The sequence below is a fragment of the Homo sapiens genome, chromosome 5, assembly GCF_000001405.40.
Source record: "Homo sapiens chromosome 5, GRCh38.p14 Primary Assembly".
In the NCBI taxonomy this organism is placed as follows: domain Eukaryota; kingdom Metazoa; phylum Chordata; class Mammalia; order Primates; family Hominidae; genus Homo; species Homo sapiens.
This window is the reverse complement of record NC_000005.10, coordinates 92,408,032-92,430,231: the sequence shown is the minus strand read 5'-3', so window position 1 is coordinate 92,430,231 and position 22,200 is coordinate 92,408,032. Positions and strand designations below refer to the sequence as shown.

Here is a 22,200-nt window from a genome sequence, read left to right as displayed (position 1 = left end):
GAGAATAAATCTCCTGTTAAGATGAGATTGGCACTATAAAATGTAAGGGGATGATCAGGGCTATAATTGAAAAAGTGTAATAAAAGTGACACATCATTTTTTATGCCATAATATAGGATTCTTATATACCCCTACTCCCACAAAAACATAAAACCCACTTAGTTCAGAATATTCTACCATTTCTTAATTGTTACTCTGGTCACATTTCCCACCCTTAATCCTATTCTTTGAATCTTAAAAAAAAATCTGCCGAACACTAATTATTTAACCTTGCCTCCTACCTACTTTCCCTCTTTATTCTGAGGTTTCTTAAGGGCTATAATGAGCTGTCCCCACACAAACAGGCCAAATTAGTGGATAATTACTGCTGGGCCCGTGAATGTTCTCACTCCTCCTTTCTTATAGTTTCACAACATTACCAGAATGGTCTGTCGCCTCCCTACCAATTAGGAACAATTACTACTTTATAACATTAGTGGTGGGAGGCTTATTATGTTCAAGGATATGTAAAAGTAAGGTAAGAGTAGGAGAGAACTGCAAGGCCAAAAGGGGTCACTGTCACATGAGGGATATCAAAAGTTTGATAGTTTTAATTTCATTTTTTTAGGAATACAGCTGCAAAGATTTATATTAACTCTATTAAATGAAAGTGAACATCATATATTGCCGAGGTTGTGTTTTTCTCCTTTTGTTCAGGATATCTCATTTTGATGGCTTGAGTTTTCAAAATCATGGAAATGACTCTACATCCTTCTATGGGAGCAAAAAGGGTTATTTATTTTTTTGGTTTCCTAGTAAACATGTCAACATATCTGTGTGTGTGTGTGTGTGTGTGCATGCTCACACACATGTGGAGAGTATGGTCTTGGCATCTGAATTTAGTTTCTTAAGCTACGTCAAGGATGCCATTGAAAAGTAAGGTACTGTGATTCAGAAGTGTAGGTAACAAACATTCCTTTTCAATCTGTATTTAAATAGGAAATTGTAGATCAAGATAAACCTGCATCGAATCTTCAGAATGAAGTGTTTTGAAAGTTTTTCAAGACTGCTCAATGGGTACTAAATTACAGTTGGATAGGAAGTATAAGTTCCAGTGTTCTATTTCACAGTAGGATGACTATGGTTAACAATATCATATTGTATATTTCAAAATAGCTATAAGAGAAGACTTTGAATGTTCTCACCACAAATAAATGACAAATGCATGAGACTATGAGTATGCTAAATACCTTGGTTTGAATTGTATACAATGTATACATGTATTGAGACATCACACTCTACCCATAAATATGTACAATTATATGCCAATTATAAACAAAAGTTTAAAAATGTTTACTATATATGCAGTTGACTTTTCTCTTTCTGGAGAGATGGAGCATAAAAAACCTGTTCATAAATTCTTTATTTTTTGATGCAATATTCTTATTACTTCTGTAAAACATTTTTTGAGGTTGTGAGTGATATTTATTTGGCAGTAAGAGGAATAGAAATGAAGTCAGGGTTCACCCTGCAGCAAAAATAAATTAATAAAATAAAAGGCTCACGTGGTGTTGTGTATGGGTGCTCTCTTTCATTCAGGGTATATGCCAGAAATTCACTGAAATGTGATGCATGTTAATGCATCTGGCCTTACCATCCCTTTTGACACTTGGTTCCTGTTAAGGCGTCCGCTCCATGGTCAGAGAACACAATCCTAAATCTTTCTTTCGATGGCATCTTAATTAGTCTAGCTGATTCATGCTTCAAAAAAAGGAGCAACATGGAAACCCTCACAGGATGGAGAAGAAACCATCTAACTTGAATATTTATTTCAAGTAAAACAAGAAACTATTCTAGATACCCCTGACAGGAGAAAATTTTTAGATGAAATCGGTAACCAACTTTGACAGTAGTGTCAGAAAGCATGACAATAGAGAGACTGTTATTATTATTATTATTATTATTATGGAATAAAAAGACTACTGTTGTCAAAATTGGAATTGTCATTTTAGCTGAGTGGTAAGAATGAAAAATGCATTTCAGAGAGTTAATAAAGGATTAGCTTGAAAGAAAGTGAAACCTGAGGTTATGAACCACACATATGAAAAGTTTGATAATTAAAAGGAAAAAAAACTTCAAGAGTACTAAATAAAATAATTTTGCAGAATGAGGTTTTGTATATTTGAAGGGAGAAAAGGAGAAACTAAATGAAGAAGGAGAGTAAAGAATTATAAAGGTATGGAATCTAAGGTGTGTATTACCTTCCACAATTGGAACGTGTTTACATACACACATTCTTTTATGCTGGTTAAGAAGTAATAAAAAATGAGAACAATAACAGAAGTATCCTGAGATAAGAGGACATATATTGAGTGGGCTCTTTCTTTTCAGTGAATTAGAAAGCAAAGACTGTGTCTCATTTAGAAAATTGAAGCACATTCTGGAGAAAAAAATGTTGCATAAAGGATGTAGCCTTGACTGACAAGCAACTTAAAAAAACATCAAGATCAATAGTTAACTCTCTGGTTGTCTGGAACTAATAGATAATTCAATTGTTCAATAAAAACATCAAACAGTATGTTCTTTGTAATGCATTGCAAATAATTAGTAGATCGACTGCATTTTTTGATTGTGTGTGTGTGCGTCAAATACCCATGATCACAATATTGTCTCTCTAGATAGAACCAAAGTTGACCGAATCAAATGTTCATTATGTTGTAGTTATTAAACAAGTTCTATACATTACCTAACAATACAATACTTATCTTTTATGGAAACTCAGTTTCATAGAGACTCCAAGTTTCCATTTCCGCCAACATTTAATCTTTTAATAGTTCCTCAATATTAAAATGTTTTTATGGTGTTTGTCTCAAAGAAATAAAAACTTATGTTCACACAAAAGCCTAATCATTAATGTTCAGAACAGCTTTATTCATAATAGCCTCAAATGGGAAACAACCCAAACGTCCTCCCATGTGTGAATAAACAGACACATTCATGCCATGGAATACTATTGAGCAATAAAAAGGAGCCACTATTGCTACACCCAATAACTTGGATGGATCTCAAGAGTATTACACTGAATTTAAAAAAAAGTCAATCTCAAATGGTTACGTAGCATGTGATTTCATTTATAATACATTTTTAAATGACATAAAATGCAGAATAGATTAGTGGTTGCTGGGGATTAAGGAGTTAAGGGGGAAAAGATATGGCTATGGCAAAAAATAGTAGCACACGGAGTACTTAGGATGGAACTGTTCTGTATCTTTATTATGGTAATAATCATAGAAATCTACAAATGTGATAATATTATAAAGAACCAAATGCACACACAAACACAAATGAGTGCAGCCAGGCGCAGTGGCACATACCTATAATCCTAGCAATTTGGGAGGCTGAGGCAGGAGGATCACTTGAGCCCAGGAATTAGAGACCAGCCAGAGCAATGGTGAAACTGGTCTCTACAAAAAATTAGCTGGGCATGGTGGTGTGTGCCTTTGGTCTCAGCTAGTGGAGAGGCTGAGGTGGGAGGATTGCTTGAACCCAGGAGGTTGAGGCTGCAGTGAGCCATGATTGCACCACTGAACTCCAGCCTGGGCGGCAGAGTGAGACCCTGTCTCAAAAATAGATAAATAAATAAAAGTGTATGTAAATGTGGTGAGATCTGAATAGGGTTAATGGATTTCATTGACATCAATTTTCAAGTTGTAATACTGTGCTATAGGTATACAAAATATTACCATACAATGATTCACAGACTTTTTCTGTCATATTTCTTACAATATATATAAATCTACAATTATCTCAAATTTAAAAATATTAAAAATAAATATACTGTTCATGTTCAAGAGCAAAAGAGGTAAATTCTAGCTAACAGACTAGACCAAGACTAATGGAGAGAGTGTTATTTGAGCTAGCATTAGAAGTTGAATATGATCTTTGTAAGTGGAGAATCGTGTAGAGCAAAATATTTCAGTAATGAGAACAGGCCAAAGTACTGCATTAGCAATAGTTGTTCATTATTTTAATAATTATTTATTGAGAATTACTAGACGTCATGCATTTTGTGCAGGATATTGAGAATATAAAGTAAGCAAAACTGTATTTCCATGAAAATTGTATATTCCTAGAGTGTATATTCATGGAAATTTCAAATTGTTAGTTTAATATAATCCAGTATTGTACAAATGTATGTAAAATTTTCACTCCAAGTATTATGGAGAACAATATGGAAGAGAACAATTTTCAAAGATGTGCAGTCATGTAGCCAGAGGAACTGGTAATGAATTTAATTTTAATGAAAAAAAGGCATGTAGAATAATAAATACAATTAAATGTCAGAAGTTTATGTTATTGACACATGTTGCCTAGACTGGAGTGCAGTGGCACGATCTCGGTTCACTGCAACCTCTGCCTCCTGGGTTCAGGAAATTCTCGTGCCTTAGCCGGCTGAGTATTGGGGATTACAGGTGTGTGTCACCACACCTGGCTGATTTTTGTATATTTTAGTAGAAATGGGGTTTCACCATGTTGGCCAGGCTGGTCTCAAACTCCTGGCCTCAAGTGATCCGCCTGCCTCAGCTTCCCAAAGGGCTGGGATTAAAGGTGTGAGCCACCATATCTGGCTGAATTCCTGGAACTTCAGTGAAAAGACTGACTGATTTGCCAATCTGCTAACCCAAGTAGAACAGAAACTAATTAAATACCAAGAAGATACTTTGCCACTTTTCATGCTAAAACAGCCAATACTGAAATTGTTTAGATATACAATTTGAATGAACTCTGTGGTCTAAGTTAAATTATCTATGATAAGCCATCAGTTGTCAGTGCTATGCACCTAAATTGGGGAAACAACTGGTATTCAAAAGGACATAAGTCCAATGTCAAGCATGGAGAACCAGGACGGCTGCCTTATCCTTCCTGAGTCCTGCATTCCATGACTCATCATGAAAATGATAAAAATGACCCAAATTAAATACATATTGCTGTGGTAGCTTATAAACTGCTAAAATAGTGTATGACCAATGTTTGGTTTGTCAAACCAATATTCCTGGGAACACAAAGCTTCAGGTACATTCCACAACATGATAGGCCACTTAAACATTTATAGAGGGATATCATTCAGTTGTCATTTTCAACACATGTTTTCTGGTTCTATAAAAGATTTTCCATTCAAGAGAGCTGATGTTATAACAGTAGCTTATTATGCCACTGTGTATTTTCACCAGTTACAGAAAGCTTTTCATGGTTCACTGACTGAGGACAATCAACCCCTTCATAATCCATAACCCAAAGATTGAACTGTCTGAGAACACCAGAGAAAGACTGCTCCTGCCATCCACATTGCAGCAAACCTTCAGGACCTTGAACCTTGGGTTCATAGTCTTACAACTCAGAAGCATCCCTCCACACTCTCAAAACTGGACATCCTTGGGAACCCTTAAGGTAAAGCTAACCAGGGAAGATTTTCTGCCCAGAAGATGGCATCCTTTTCCCCAAGATCACAGAAGCTTTTTCCCAAGATCACAGATCAAGACTTCTCTAGTACCATGAGACTCTTATCTTTGAATTTTTCCCCTTGCTATGCCTCTATAAACAATAGAAGTAAAAATGGAATCTGTTGTGTGCACTCATGGGGTATACTTTTATTTGTGAAGGATGCTGCAGCCATGCAGACTTATACATGGATAACAGATATGGTTTGGCTCTGTGTCCCCACCCAAAACTCATGTTGAATTGTAATCCCCAGTGTTTGTGAGGACTGGTGGGAGGTGATTGGATCATGGTTGTGGTTTCTAATGGTTTAACGTGATCCCTTTAGTACTGTCTTGTGATAGAGTTCTCATGAGGTCTGGTTGTTTAAAAGTGTGTGGAACCTTCCTGTTCACTCTTTCTCCTGCTCTGACAAGTGAAGATGTGACTGCTTTTCCTTCAACTTCTGCCATGATTGTAAATTTCCTGAGGCCTCTTCAGCCATGCTTCCTGTACAACCTGCAGAACTGTGAGTCAATTAAACCACTTTTTTTTTATAAAGTACCCAGTCTCAGGTACTTCTTTATAGCAATACAAGAACGGACTAATACAATAAACTTATGCCTTGATAGATGGAAGATGAAGGCCCAATGTAGGTGAGAAATTTTAATGGTATGTACATTGCTCCATAATCAGTCAGAAAGAACTCCTCTCAACCTACAGTGTGGGTTAAAAGAACATTGCCAGAAGGTCGTCATTCTTCTAGAAGGGCATCATTTGTTAGGTACTTTTTTCCATAGTTAGTAAAGGAGGCAATGATTAGAAATTCATTCCTCACCATAGGCTTCATAGCAGATTCTCCTGTAAGAGCTGTGATTACACAACAGACTTTAAATTATCTCATGAAAGTGATGCTGAATAATAGAATTTCTCTAGATTACTTCCTGGCTAAACAGAGAAGTAACCGTGCAGTTGCTGGCACTTGTTGCCCATGGAGAAATATATCACATTGGGTATTACAGAGATTAAATAGTAGGGGATTAACGAAGAGACTGCTTAGTTAAAGCAAGTAGACTCTTTATCTAGCTCATTCTTTGATCTATTGATTTTAGTTTGTTTGCTTTATGGAGACCCTGGGTAAGAAGCATACTCAAAACTCTTGGTATTATCCTCCTGATAGTCATAATAGTAGTCTCCCTGGTGCACTGTGGTCTCTGAAAAGCTTTACAAGTTTGCATGCAGCCATCTCTAGAGTATCAAGTGGTCTCTCTTCAACTGTAATGACAAGAATGAAAAAATGTGTGACCATGAGGGCACCATAACCATAAATGACATTCTGAGACTGGAAACCCAAAATGATGGTAACTGAGAGTGACACTAAGGCCATAAGTGTTGGTCACACTCTTACCTAAGGAGCATTTGACTAAATGGGGGATATTTTTTAAAGACAATTATTGGAGGCCATTTTTTTGGAACTGAGCTCATGCAGTAGGCCCCAAAAGACCAGATCAAACCAAAATGGAGTCACTTATGCTAAATGTGACATAATCAAACTAAGACTTTAAGGAAACACATAGATCCTAGAAAAGACAGGTTTAGGTTTTTTTTTTTTTTTTTTTTCTGTAAACAGGATGTTCCGGCATAAGGAGATACCCTCTACTGGAACCCTTTTAAAACAATGACCTGAAGTCCTTGTTCCCATCTTACAAAACCCGTAGTTCTATTTTCCAGTGGGTTTCAAGAGCAAATAAGTACAGTTACAATGATGATAGTGCCATCAATCACTGAACTTTTGGTCATCCTCTCAAAATTGAGAGGATGACCAAAAGGAGGGGATTGTTAAATCAAGTTTAGTCTAAAACTGCCTCCTTACATATTTTAAGTTTGGCCTAAAAGTTTCTCTGTACATCATGAATCATAGCCTAAATAGAAGTGTAAACAGACTATACTGTACTCTTGTGCCAATCACTGAATTTTGGTCAATCAAATGTGGCCAACTGTTTAAATTGTGTTCAACTAAGACAAACACCGAGCTATAACCAATACAGCAGTTTCTGTCCCTCGCTTCTGATTTGTGTACATCACTTTCCTTTTTCTGTCCATAAATCTTCTACCACATGGCTGCACCAGAGTCTCTGAGCCTACTCTGGTGTGGGAGGCTGCCTGATTTGCAAATCGTTCTTTGCTCAATTAAACTCTTTAATTGGGCTGAAGTTTTTCTTTTACCATAAGGAAACTTTTTGTATAATTTAAAAATCTTAAAATTATTTTTAATGTTCCTTTGATGTTTGGGTCATTTCCAATTACTAGAGGGTTATGATATGGGAACACATGTTTTAAAAAATTATGGAATGTTTTCAGCTATCAAATGCTAACATCTGATAGTTGTTCAGGATTTATTGCTTCCTAGACTTTCACTAAAATTTAAGGTTATAATTCTGTATATAAAATGTGCTAAAGAAGATGTGTTTTTATTGAGGAAAGGAGTAATTTTATCTAATTCAGAAATTATCTGTTTATTCAAATTATGAATTATGAAAATTTTTGTAATAAAATAAAATGACTGGTTATCAAAAAGAAAAGAATTTAGGACAAAATAGAAAGTCAAAGCATGTCATAGATGGTCCGTGTAAGTCATATGTACATTTATTCCTGTTTCTCTCTGTGTTTATCTTCATGTACATTCAGAGAAAATAGGAACTTGAAAAAGTTTAGTTAATAAAACATTCTTTAAGACAAGATGGAAAATTGGAAAAATTCAACTAATTAACATTGCTCATAATCAAAGCTCCTAATCTTGATAAAGGTAAAATATGAAATAATGTAAAGAAATATGCTGGTGTTTGAAAATTTCTTTTTAGTATAGGTAAGCACAAAGCCAGATTTACCGTGGAAACAAATTTCATAAAGATGCTTTCATTGTTTTGTTTCATACTGTATTTGCTATTCTGCATAGATAGTACTAGCACTAAAATGTTTACTGGTTATGTGCTTGAAGTAAACTTCTTAATTGCACAAAATGTATGTGGTGTTGGAAGACTTAAAGACGTTAATTTATGTATCAGGAACAAAATATTCATCTTTTTTTGTATTTTCTTTTTTAGACTCTGGGTAACACTGTAGCCTCTAAGGTAAACTGAGTAGGAGAAAAATTTGGGGTTAGTTTTCTGTTTAGTTGATTTTGCTTTTAATTTCCATTTGTTTACTCTTTGATCTCCTTTGGGTTTCACTTATATACACATATATAAAACAACTATTTTATTTTTTACTTTCTGCTGGAAGGCTTGTATTTGGTTCCATGAATTGTCATTTGTTTCCTATGCATTTCCAACAACTCATCATTTGCTCTATTTATATAAAATTCCCAAGCTACCTTTGTCAAGCCTCCAAAAAATGATACTACACACCAGCTATTTAAAACTGGATTGGTTTTGCTTACTTCTGATGATCTAGAGAGCTATAAATGCTTTAAGTTTCCTGGAAAAGAAAATAGGCTTATCTTCATAAGTTCTGAACAGAAATAGTACATATATTTTACAGAACAGAAATAGCACACATATTTTATTATTTGGAAAAGTAGGTGAGAGTAGAAATGTTTAAATGCTGTTTATTTCCAAGGTAATTAAATTAAATCAGTAATTTGAATTGGATTCAGATCTTCTCCTTTAGGTAATGAGGAAAAACTGTGTTATGGTTACACTGTTGTAATAATCAGGAAAGATAGGCCTTATCCTAAAGAATATTGTATTCCTATGTGACTGAAGAGAGAGATTGTGTTGCAGAAGAAAACTATAGAATTAGATTAACCATTAATTCATGGGTGGCCACGTTTGGAGCTGTCCACAACACCTCTCTTCATCATAAAGCAGCCAGAGAAATTGATACCAGATTCTTAATAAATAGAAAAGGGGAGACTGAAACCAGCCCAATTGTCCTGTAGAACTGATCTTTACAATTCCTTCTGAATAAACATAGAAATTGACCTTCCCAATATTAAAAATTGAGAAAGTTTCATTTGTGTAATCTGAGTTCCTTTCTCAGGAAAATAGCCATCAGTCCTCCCAGATGGTATCAAAGAACTGAAACTTAGCAAATCACTGAAACTAGACAATAAGTCACCAGGCCCTTCACCTGTCATAATCTTCAACTGATTATCTGCTTCCTGTTGACCAACATGTCTTCCTTATCCCTCCCTAACTGCTGTTTTCCTGCACATAGTTACATTTCTTCACTGCATTATAAACCCCTAATTTCATTCAGTTGAGGAGATATGAGATTGTTCCCCCATCTCATCTGTAGCACCTGATTAAAGCCTTCTTCCCAGGCAATACTCATTGTCTCAGTGATTGGCTTTCTGTGTGGCAAGCAGCAGGGCCTGGAACAAACCCCTGGTGTTTCAGTAATGATGCTACTTCAAAGTGCCTCAGAATATAAACACAATCAAAGTATGGGAAATGTGTGATTGGTTGATATTATGTTTTTGTTACCTGAAGAAATAAATGGCAATGTTATGTAGATACTGGATTTGAAAATTTTAAAAAATTAAAGAAATATATATATATATATATATTTGCACCAGAGTAGGACTAAGAGGGGGAGTTGAGATGGTATCCAATCTCAATTCTCTCTCTTTATGTATATATAAATTTATAATTTAAATAGTTCTTCATAAAATTAATATAATTGATAATTAAAGTAAATAATTATAAAATATGATTTATAAAATTATCTAAATATAATTTCATATTTATATAAATATTTCTCTCTTGCATAAATATAAAATTATATATTTTTTATTTTTGTACACTTCAGTTGAGATTTTGGGATGTCCTTGAAGAACAGGTCATTTTAGAACTAAAATCTACAAGGGATGGAGACCAGCTGTACTTCACTGCTGGTGTAAGAACAGAGGGTGAGGTGAAGGCTCTCGCATGACACAAACTCTAATTGCAGAACTTGGACTCCAGCTCCTGATAGAACAAAGGCCAGTGCTCCTGTTGTCATGCAGCACATAAATTTTATAGTTTCAGGACAAGGGCCTTTTTCCTAAAGTCTAATACCTAGCCCAGTTAGATCCCTGTGCACTATCCAGAATATAATGGGTCTGGTTATACTCTCTCATTTATTTGACAGGTTTTTACCTTTTACTTTAATTATTGATGATTGCCTGAAGTATGCCTGGAATTGTTAAGTACTTTGGAAGCTAAAGTTAGAAAAGCCCCAGTGTCCTCTTTTATAGCCATTTGTTTCCCCAACATAGGCTATACACTGTAGTGAGTGGTTCTTGGTTCAGTCTCAAAATCCTCTAGTTTCCTGCTCTGTGCATATTGATTTGTTTCCAGTTTGTCCCTTGACTGTTCCAAGGATAGTCTATATGCAAAATCCTGCACATAAAACTCATGTATAAGAAAGTGTATTTTTCCCTGAAAAAATTTTCACTTGTTCTGGAAATGGGAAAGGACTTGGGACTGAGAGAAGGGCAGAATTTCCTCCATTCTGGGGGCAGGAAAATGTGAAAGAGGACTCTAGAAGCAAATGTAGCTGAGAGTGGATGCCGCCTCAATTTCCCTTCCTAATCCTACTCTGGTGCTAAAGGCTTAATTTGGGAAAAATAGTTCAGCAGGGCTCACTCCTGCTGCCAGTACTGAGATCCTGGGATCCCTGAGCAGAGGGCAACAGAGGAAAGTGAATGGCTGGGGACTTCACTCACTTTGTCTTGTGACTTTAAGTGGGTAATTATAGAAAAATTTAAAGCAGTAATGGAGGAGAAAAAAATGATTGCTACCATAAATTGTATGTTGCGAACATCATCTGTCTCATAAGAAATTGATCAGTTTGTAATTATATTATTTGGCATTATTATTCTAAGTTCACATGGGAAGAAATTGAAACCTAGGGCTATTAAGCTACTTGCTCAAATTTGCCCAGTAGATATGGGCCAGGGTCAGGGCACGGATTTAGTTTCTTCAATTCCAATCCATGTTCTTAATTCTCCTATTATGCTGCCACCCGAGGAAAGTGGCAACAGGCCTCAATTTCCACAACTGTCAAAGGGGGTGATCGGACTTTAAGTGCTTTAGTGTCTCTAGCACTAATATGCTATCATTTTTCTGGAGACTTACAGCAACATTATTCCCATATAAAACACCTGCAAAAGCTCTATTTGTGAGCTTGCCATCTGTTTTCAGCAGAAAGCTTACATTTATTTCCCCATGGAGTAATGTACTAAGAAATTTTTTTGTAGGTTGGTGTTTATGATAAAGTATTTCATATGATTTTATGTTTTTAATATGTCACATTAAATCTTAAGAAAGTAATGGATAAAAAGAGAACAAATATCTCGTAAGGAGACTAAATTGAATTGCCTTCTGTTCTAGGTTATGCACATGACTAAAAAGAAAACTATGATTGTTATTACAAAACACACGAGAGTCCAAGAATATTTTCAAGCATCTAAATGATGCATGTTAGTGATTACTATAAGACTTAAAAATGGAATAAAGTTTACAAAAGTTTGAATAAATAAGTTGATAAGTAATTTTCAAATTTTCAACCCCACAAATTTTTTACAATATTTATAACACTTCGGTGGTGTTTTTATTTTTACATTCATTTTTAAAATCTAGAATCCACATTTAGAGTATCACAAGTGTTATCATTTTATTTGGTTTAAATGACTTCCTTGGATTTTTTTTATATTCTTCCCTCACTCTACCCGAAATTTTCCAAGAAAAGAAAAAGTTGAATATGGAGCCCAATAGATGCCCAGGCACTACATTTGATGTGTATTATTTTCAATAATAATCAATACTTTTGCTTAGGCAACGAGTTTTACCTGGGTGTAGAAACAGAGCACTGAAGAGCTGCGACTCATCAAGTGAAATCAGATCAACCACTCTGTTCTTCTTTGGGCCATTTAATCCTACTCTGTGCAATCATGTTATCTGCCAACTCTCAGGTAATAACAAAAGCCCTCTGATAGGCCAGGTGCCGTGGCTCACGCCTGTAATCCCAGCACTTCAGGAGGCTGAGGCAGGTGGATCATGAGGTCAGGAGATCAAGACCATCCTGGCTAACATGGTGAAACCCCCTCTCTACTAAAAAATACAAAAAATTAGCTGGGCATGATGGCGGGCACCTGTAGTCCCAGCTACATGGGAGGCTGAGGCAGGAGAATTGTCTGAACCCAGGAGGCAGAGCTTGCAGTAAGCCAAGACAGTGCCATTGCACTCCAGCCTGGGCGACAGAGCCAGACTCCATCTCAAAAAAAAAAAAAAAGTCTTCTGATAACTTTTAGTGACAAATAACCAAACTCTCAGTTCACTGATTAATATATATGGCACCAGTGCTGTCTAATAGAAAATTTTAATATCTGCACTGTCCAATAAAGTAGCTGCAAGTAGTTATTGAGTATTTGAAATCTGGCTAGTGTGACTGATAAACTGGATTTTTAACCTTGTTTAATTTTAATTATTTTAAATTTAAATTTAAGTGGTTGCATGCTGCTAGTGGTTACTGAATTGGCTAGTTTATGTTTAGACCAGAGTGATCTTTAAAACCTCCAAAATTTCAAAAGTCAAACTCATAGAGGCAAACAGCAGAATAGTGGTTGACAGGCGTGGTGGGGAGCACAGAGCAGCTCAGGAAATTTGGTCAAAGGGTACAAACTTTATTATAAGATGAATAATTTCTGGGCATCTAATGTATAGAATAGTGACCTTAGTTACTAATACTGTATTGTTTACTTGAACTTTGTTAAGATAGCAGATTATAAGTGTCCTCAACTCTCACCACACTCCACAATGGTAACTATGGGTGGTGAAGGATATGTTAATTACACTGTGATAGACAATATATAATGTACAAGCATATTAAATCATCATGTGTGTACCTTGATTATATATAATTTTCATTTGTCAATTAAATATTTTAAAATTTAAAAAGAGCCTCTCAGCTGGGTGCAGTGGCTCACGCCTGTATTCCCAGAACTTTGGGAGGCCAAGGTGGGCTGATCACCTGAGGTCAGGAGTTTGAAATCAGCCTGGCCAACATGGCAAAGCCCCATTTCTGCTGTCTCTACTAAAAATACAAAAATTAGCCGGGTGTGGTGACGGGCACCTGTAATCCCAGCTACTCAGGGATGCTGAGGCACGAGAATTGCTTGAACCCAGGAAGCAGAGGTTGCAGTGAGCTGAGATTACGCCACTGCACTCCAGCCTGGACAACAGAGGGAGACTCCATCTTAAAACAAAACAAAACAAAACAAAACAAAAAAAAACAAAGAGCCACTCCTCTCTCACTACAGGACCCTTTGAGCTTGGAAGCCTGTGGCAAGTATGGAGAGTGTGGTCAGATTCTCTTTCATCCTGTCACTTGGCTGGATTCGATCTCCTTTGCACACCACCCAAGAGACTCAGCTTCAGTGATTGGAGTGGTGGGGAGACAAGTACATGAACAAGGACAGACACCAATAGAGTATTGGTTACTTCCAGCTGTGACCAGTATTTATGATGGATTCCTTTGGGATTGATTATGATTCATGTGGCCTCCTATTTTTTTGGAGTGCTATTGGAAACCTTCTGCAGTGGTCCCCAAATTTAAGCAATACTTTTCCTTCAGCTAGCCACTTGTGTTCCTTCTCTCTCCTTTTGCAATCCTGTAGTCTTCCTCTGTCTTTTGTGTGTGTGTTGGCAGGTGTGTGCGTAGGAGGGGTGTTCACCTTGACTCTCCAGGCAATCTTTGTATAGAGGATTTGAGTTGGTTCTGAGCCTATGCTCTCAAACTTCACTGTGGTTCATGAGAAACAGTTATGCACTCTCTTTCCTCTCTCAGGTAAAATGTAGATTTCTGTTCCATTTGTTCACTTCTTCAAGAAAAACATTCAAGCATCCTTGTCCTTATCTCAAATGGAAATGTAGAAAGCTTCTGGAGCTTCCTGACTTTTTTCTTTCTTTTTCATCTCCGCACTGGCGAGTTCATGCAGTTCTCACATATACATATTTTAAAGCATGGAGCCAGCCCTAAGCTCTCAGTACCACAGATGCCCAGGACCAAAAGTCAAACTCATTTATTGTGAGACAGAGGACATCTTACCTCTCCTGGAGGGTAAGGTTGAGATGAAACTGACAGCTCTTTGATGAAACTCTCCCGCTGATATCCAACACCTATTCTTGGCCCCTCCACTTCTTTATAGGTTTGAGGTAAGTGATCAGCTCAGCTAAGGATCTAGGCCACTTTCTTTGCAAGTCCTACTTAAATGATCCAGACCTTCTCTTCAGAATGTTGGAGCAGTTCATATAGTATCTCAAAGGCCTCAGCTGAAACAGAAAGAGAAAAGATCCAATTTAAAATTTTGTTACCTATATATGCAGTTACATCATACATTCTTTATCCTAAGAATTTTCTATGTATTATTTCATAACAACACTATATGGAATATTATTAATATAACCTATTCACAAATGAGGAATCTAGGTAAGATAAACTAGGTAACCTGCCAAGGCCATATAGTTTAGAAAGAAGTGGCAGATCTGGGATTAAAATCTGCAACCCTAATTTTTCTTTTCTTTCTCGAAATTCAATCTGTTGAACTACCTTTCCTAGGTTAGTTATTTTAAGCATCAAATGCTAAAACTTCAAAGAAGTAAGTTGTGTCTGAAGCTGTTAACATGGTGTAATATATGTGTGTGTGTATATATATATGCATTTACATACAGATGGAAAATATGTACATATTTGTACAATTAAATATGCATATATATATTTCCTTTTTTCTAAGTCACAGTCTTTCCTCCTATATTTCCACATATTATAAATGTGAGTCCTTCTTAGAATCAGTGTACACTCTTCCTTAAAAAAATTAGTGCCTCTTTTCTCCAAAAATGTCATAAACACATTAATGTTGTATTTGATAATTTCTTATCTTAGAATCCAAAACATATCAGGATCAATGAATCACTCAAAGAGAGACTCTATGAATACAAGTGTGCATTGACCCATTCTTGATGCAGAAAAAATATCAAGGATCAAGAGGAGATAATTAACATTTAAACACACTCTTACGAGTGTCAGTGGCCAATTGAATGCATTCTTAGGGTTAGATCAATTTAAAAAACAAAAAAACTCTTAAAGGTTTCTTTTGAGATATGTTATCTTTGAACATATAGTTTTGCAGAGTTTGAAAGAGAAAAAATGTAAAACTAGTTCTTGTTAGTGTAAAAGTAGTGTATTCTGCTCATTATCCATTGATTAATTCAACAAATACTGCAGTTAAATGTATGATATTATGCAAGTCAGAACCAATAATCTTAAAGACTGGGCAAGGAAAAAAAAATTCAAGCTTTTCAGTAGGCCTGTCTGAAAATTGATATGCTTAACCAGAAAAGAGACATGTGAACAACTCCTTATAATTTTATATTTATTTTAATATTACCCAAATACAGTTAAAAGTTCATTAATTTTATCTTAACTAGTTGGCTTTAAGAATATAACAATGCAAGACCCCCTTTATTTTAAAGGTGCGGGTACTGTACTATTGCTACAAGCAAAAATAAATCTACATACAACACTTAAAAGTTGATACTATAAACATGTCACGATGTATGAAGCTGATTTCACATCTCTATCATGAGCACATCTTGTTCTATGAGCGTGATAAATTTATTAGGTGTGTGCACATAGAACTTTATAAGTGAAATAATGAAGTGCCTCATTTTACATATAAGATCTAAGGAAGTTACATGATTCTCCTGAGTGCTAGTGCCAGTGGGTAGCAGAACAAAACAGATGCATTTAGGATTCTTTTTACATACACAGAGAGAGCATTTTAAGATACACAGGGAGAGAAATGATTCTTAGTTTCTGGAATATTCTAGATCTATAACCTTATATCACTTATATTATACTTCTGTTGGCAGAATATAACTTAAGTACTTAACATAGCCAAACACATACAAATGCATTTAGATAGTGAACAAAAGGTTGTATTGTGGGAGTGAATATGATTAATGGGTATTTGTAAAGAATCATCTATGCATCAGATGCTTTTACATATGAGAGATACATACATGCTCATCAGCACAAGACAATTATAACTCTCCTCCTCACATTCTTACTTCCCTCCTTCTAGGTCAACTGATACTTATACTAAAATCATTGTTTTTAATCTCCTGATCTAACCAAGCCCCAGCCTTCATTCAGTGTTCTAACCTCTTAGAACACCCAATTAAGGGAGAATTGATTTTCTTCTCCAAGATGGTTCTCTCTGTTTCTCCCATACACAAAATTTACTGTGGGTACATGGGATGTGAGCGTTTTCCTGACATATCTCTTTACTTCCTGAGGTTTGCAGCAGAGAGAGATTTCAGTCTGTTTAGTGAATAGCAGTTGGGGATATAGGGCAATTGGGAGGTAATCACAACTTTTTCTACCACTTTTACTCTGCTGAATATTCTAATTTTCTTTCTAGTCAAAGAAATGGGTAAAATGTAGGCTCTGCAGCAATACTCAAAAATTGTCTTCTGAGATTTGGAGACTTTCTCTAATAAGATGGTGAAGGAGATAAGAGGTTTGTGAGAATTGCACTTGCTTCATATCACATGCTTTCAAAAATTATTTATTCAAAATTGCTAAAAATATAATATCCTTGAATCTAGTTTATATAATTTAGATGTTTTGTCCCCTCCAAAGCTAATGTTAAAAAGTGACCTCCAATATTGGCAGTGGCTCTAGTGGGAGGTGTTTGCATTGTGGGAACAGATTTCTCATAAATGGCTTGGTGGTGTTCTTACAGTAATGAATGAGTTCTCACTCTATGTTCATGTGAGATCTGTTTGTTCTAAAGAGTCTGGTACCTCCCCTCTCTCTCCCTCTTGCTCCGTCTCTTGACATGCTATACACTGGCTACCTCTTGCCTTCTATAGATATAGAAGACCCCAGAAGCAAAGAGAACATTGGGTTGAAGGAACTGAGACACTTTCCTTATTGCTAGATAGCAGAGCTGGTGTCTGAGATGTGGTAGAGAGATTAGCAGTGCTCATACTGTTCAGGGCAATGAAGAACTATCAAAGGGTTCTATGCAAGAGGTGACATGTTCATATTTTCCTTTCAAAATATTACTCTATCTTCATAAAGTGGATGGAGTAATGATAACATTAAGGGAATAGAGACCTACTGTAGTTGCAGTCATCCAAGTGAACTATGATGGGGCCCTGAACAAAATTAGTGATAGCGAGGACGGGGGCCTACAGAATGGATTTGAAAGATCCTTCGGGGTGGAATTAGAAGTATCTTGTAGTTGAAGGGAAGTAAAGTATGTGGGCAAAGGAGCGAAGGATAAAATCAGATGTATGGCTTGTTCAGGAGTTTAGCAGGGAGAAATGCAGGTTTCGGAAAAATGGGAGGTAGTCAGTTAAATTATAGTATATTAAATTTAATGAAACTATGGAACATCTAAGAAGCATGGAGGAGGCAATTCAGTAAATGGGTCTGAACCTTAGGAGAAATATGGGTGACCTTTGTCTAGAATACCCATCTCAGATCTCACTAATTAAAATTCAAATCTTGTATTATCTCTTTAATGCCTGGGTTAACTCCATTTTATGTTTTCCATAGGAGGGATGTTTGTCACAGCTCTTACTATCTTTTTCAATTATTTGTTTTTTCTTATCATAAAGTTAACATCCTCCAGGAAAAGAGAAATATTTGTTTCTCCATCCTGCTCAGTTTCTTGAAGACAGTAACAGTGCCTTCTTTCTTGGGCCATCCTTAATGTTGGGAACAATTCTAGACACATAGTAGGCAACCATAATAAATGTTTATTGAACTGAAAATTTACTGATTAGAGCAAAGATTTGTTTAGTTATATAAGCAATAGAAATTAGGTTGGAGCCAGATTGTTCAGGGTCTTATATGCTAAGTCAAGACTTTGAATTTATCGTTTTCATTTTGACTACCACTCTAATTGTTAATGTGTGAAGGAGTTATTTTATAATGATTTATGTGCAGTTTACTGGACATTTATTCCTATAGTCATGAATGTCAGATATGAATTATGTGTAACCTTGGGAATTACCAAGTTCCATATACTAATGGCTAATGATAAGACAATGCACTGGATTTCTTTTTTCCTTTTTTCTTTCTTTCTTTTTCTTTTCTTTCTTTCTTTTTTTTTTTTTCTAAGCTAATATCACCTTTCTCAGCCTCTTTGAAAAGGGTACAGAAATAAAAGAACCTTGCTATTGCCTTGGTACTCTGGAAAACTAGGCTGTATTTTGGGTTAGCCAATTAATTTATACAAACATATTCTCTCTCTCTCTCTCTCACACACACACACACACACATACACACACACACACATCATACATCTTAATCACTTCATCTATAAAATTGGGTGGTTGGGTTAAATTATACCTAAAATGTAATAGGATTAAACTACTGACTATATCCTTCTGAATCAAATCCTGTTATCTTTTGGTCATATATTAAATTCCCTATGTTTAAACTTGCCTAATAGTAACATACCTGTTCGATAGGCTTTTAAATCAAAAACAAACTGAACTCCTCCAGTAAAATCTTCAGTAAAAGCACTAATTATAATGATTACTTATCAAACTTATAACAGATGTGTTTTAAATGACCTGCTTTGTACTTTTGTTTTAAAAATTCTGTTAATATTATTCTGAGTAAGACAAGGGTTTATAGTTCTAATTGAGAAATTCACAATGATTATGAGGTAATTTGATAGAATGCCAAATGAATATTAATTTTGATGCTTGTGAAATGTATTATTTCCATGTTTAATTGAAAGAATGATAACAGACCATTGTAGCAATCCCATTATTTTAAGTGGCATGCATTATGAATTAATCAAATGGATGATAATAATTTGTTACTATCTACAGCACCACTCTCATATGTAAAACCATAAAATGGTTTCATTTCAGCATTCCTACAATAAAAAGAACTTTAGTAGTCTTTTTGATTATTGAAATAGTTATTGTTTATGTAAACCATACAAAAATGTAAACATAGACAATAATATCAAGTATTTTATTATCACAAGTTCCCAAATTATTTTCAGATTTAGTTTAGAAATGAATATTAGTCTATACTAATACTATGGTATGATATAGCTGTCCAAACAGTAGCACCTGGCCACACTTGAAATGTGGCAAGCATTACTGAAGAACTAAATTTTTAATTTTATTAAATTTAGGCTCTTTTAATTGATTAATTTATCTGGAAATGTAATTAGCTACATATGTCTGGTGGTTACTGTATTGGCCAGCACAGATCCATAGATTTAGAACCATACTGCAAAAATATGTGATCACTATTTTCACAGCATTTGTTTTATATACAATTCTAAAATTCTTAATTTTTAAAAGGAAACTTCAAAAAATAATTTTTTTTCAAGACAGGGTATCACTCTGTTGCCCAGGTTGGATTCCAGTGGCATGATCATGGCTCAGTGCAGTCTCGACTTCTGGGGTTCAAGCGATTCCCCCATCTCAGCCTCCTCAGTGGCTAGGATCACAGGTATACACCACCATACCCAGGTAATTATCATTATTTTTTGTTAGAGATGGGGTCTCCTATGTTGCCCAGGCTAGTCTTTAACTCCTGAGCTCAAACAGTCTCTCTGCCTTGGCCTCCTAAAGTGCTGGGATTATAGGCGTGAGCCACTATGCCCAGCCTTACATATTTTTTCAAGTAATAGAAATGCTTATAAACGGAAATATACATTTTTTAGCTTTTAATTCCATCATGCATTCTTAAAATCCTATGTCTTAACTGGAGTCAGCATCTGAAAGAGGAAGGATATCTTTGATTTATGGTTTTTGTGTTCATTCTCTTTTAGCAGCATTAAGATGTAAATGTACTACATGTTTAGCATGGTCATTTCTTGATATTTAAATACTTTCTCAAGCTTGCTAATTGTTAAAATTAAATACCAGGCCCTCCTCACTCTGGCAAAGTAACTTTAATTCACTTAGAAACACACACACACACACACACACACACAAACACACACACACACTGCTGTTATACTGAGAGTAGTTTACACATTATAGTCAACCGAAGCAGGCTGAAATCCCCTCCAAAACAGAAAGCTGAGTAAATTCCTTCCATGCCATGCCGTTAGATAGCATTCTCAGAAGCTAAAGAACATTGCCAGCTTCCTCCCCACCTAGAATAAAGCACACAATGTATTTTGGTAGTTTATTCCACAAGCAAATGCCTGATTATCCTTTGCAGTTCTGAGAGCCTGAATATCAATGCTGCATAAAGGGTGAAAATGTCTGCTCTTCATATTTTGTTCTTATAAAATAACATTTCAAATTATTACCCTTTAAAATTTCCCTAAATGACCACTCAGTACAGCCTCTTCCTTTTGCACCAATAGAGGCAAGAAAGGCTGTGACAGCCTGGGTGTGGCGAAAGAGGATGAAACGTCTAAAGATTGAATCATTCTAATTCCCTAAAGTAGTGAAACTGGGAACAACTCCACAAACAAAAAATGGAAGAGTTCCTAAATCATTGCTTTGATCCTGTTATTCCTTTGCTCAAGAAGTTTCAGTTGCCCCTTCCTTCTTTGCTTAGGACTATGATGTCAAGAATTTTTGATCATGCAATTCCAGTTGAGAAAAAAATATGTATATATTAAACATACATCCAGATGTATAATTCTCTCTAAATTATATATGTGTAGCTACTGGGTGTGTATAGTTAATACTAAGTTTTATTTGTTTATCATATGATTGTTATATTTAGGAAAATAAATGTTAAAAATTTGTTTTTATGATTGCTTCCTCAATGGTTCATCATTTGCAAATAGAAAATAACTCATTTTTTGGAGATGACTGACTCAGAGAATAAACTTTAAACCCCACATCCTTGCTTTCTAGGACCAGAATGAGGGTTCATCTTTTTCTTTCCTGCTAATTTTCCATACTACTTCTCTCCATAATCTCTTTCTACTACACCAACTAGTTTCAGATTCTTTTAGTTTGAATTGAATTTCTTTTGTATAGTTTTTCAACATTTTAATGATTATTATAGCTTTAAGAAAAAAGTATATAGAAAAATTATTGAATATCTTTAATGAATTAATTGTGTTGCAAAGATAATTCAGAGCTCTCCATGAAGTTTACTTGGCTACATTTATGGATATATTTAATGTTCTTCTAAATATGCTCTCTCTTGAGAATTTTGCCTCTGTCCTTCAAAAAATATTGTTTCTTCTTCAGCGATCGTCTTTTTCTCTGTCCTCTCTTTTTCTTCCATTCTTTATTCCTTAATTGAAACATATGCACATCCGTGCAGTTAAAATTTAAAGGTAAACATTCTATTGGTACTTACATAAGCCAGGAGCAATTAAATGCCAACTAGATTGGCTTGGCATAGTCCACATAATAGGATCACAAAAATGTATGCAATAGAAAAAGTAATGTGTGGTATTTTGAAAATATTATCCAATAAACACTATACTGTAAGTTTTGTTTGCTTAACATGTGACATTTACGTTTAGGAAAAGAAATATGAGCTGTTTTTAGATATTTTAGTGATTTAACTTTGAAACAAAAGATTTCCTACTAGAAATAATTTCAATGTTCTTAGGAATCTCTGCAGTCAGCAGTCTGTTGTCCATTGCCTGAAAAACACTGTTTTATATATTTTGCTCAGATTTCTAGTTATTTAAGGTAGGACGGTAAATCTCATTACTGTTTTTCAATCATGGCTGGT

General features: G+C 35.3%; 1 long non-coding RNA gene across 3 annotated transcripts in view; it reads right to left on the bottom strand.

Moving 5' to 3' along the window:
- The window catches only part of LOC105379080 (uncharacterized), a 166,831-nt gene that overhangs the window by 60,724 nt on the left and 83,907 nt on the right, over positions 1-22,200 (bottom strand). For 2 of the 3 annotated variants that reach the window (XR_001742806.2, XR_007058867.1), the window contains one exon: positions 14,548-14,771. This is a non-coding gene — a long non-coding RNA (uncharacterized LOC105379080). Of the gene's footprint in view, positions 1-13,102; positions 14,772-22,200 lie in introns of those variants that run through there. The other variant, XR_007058865.1, reaches the window with a different exon arrangement.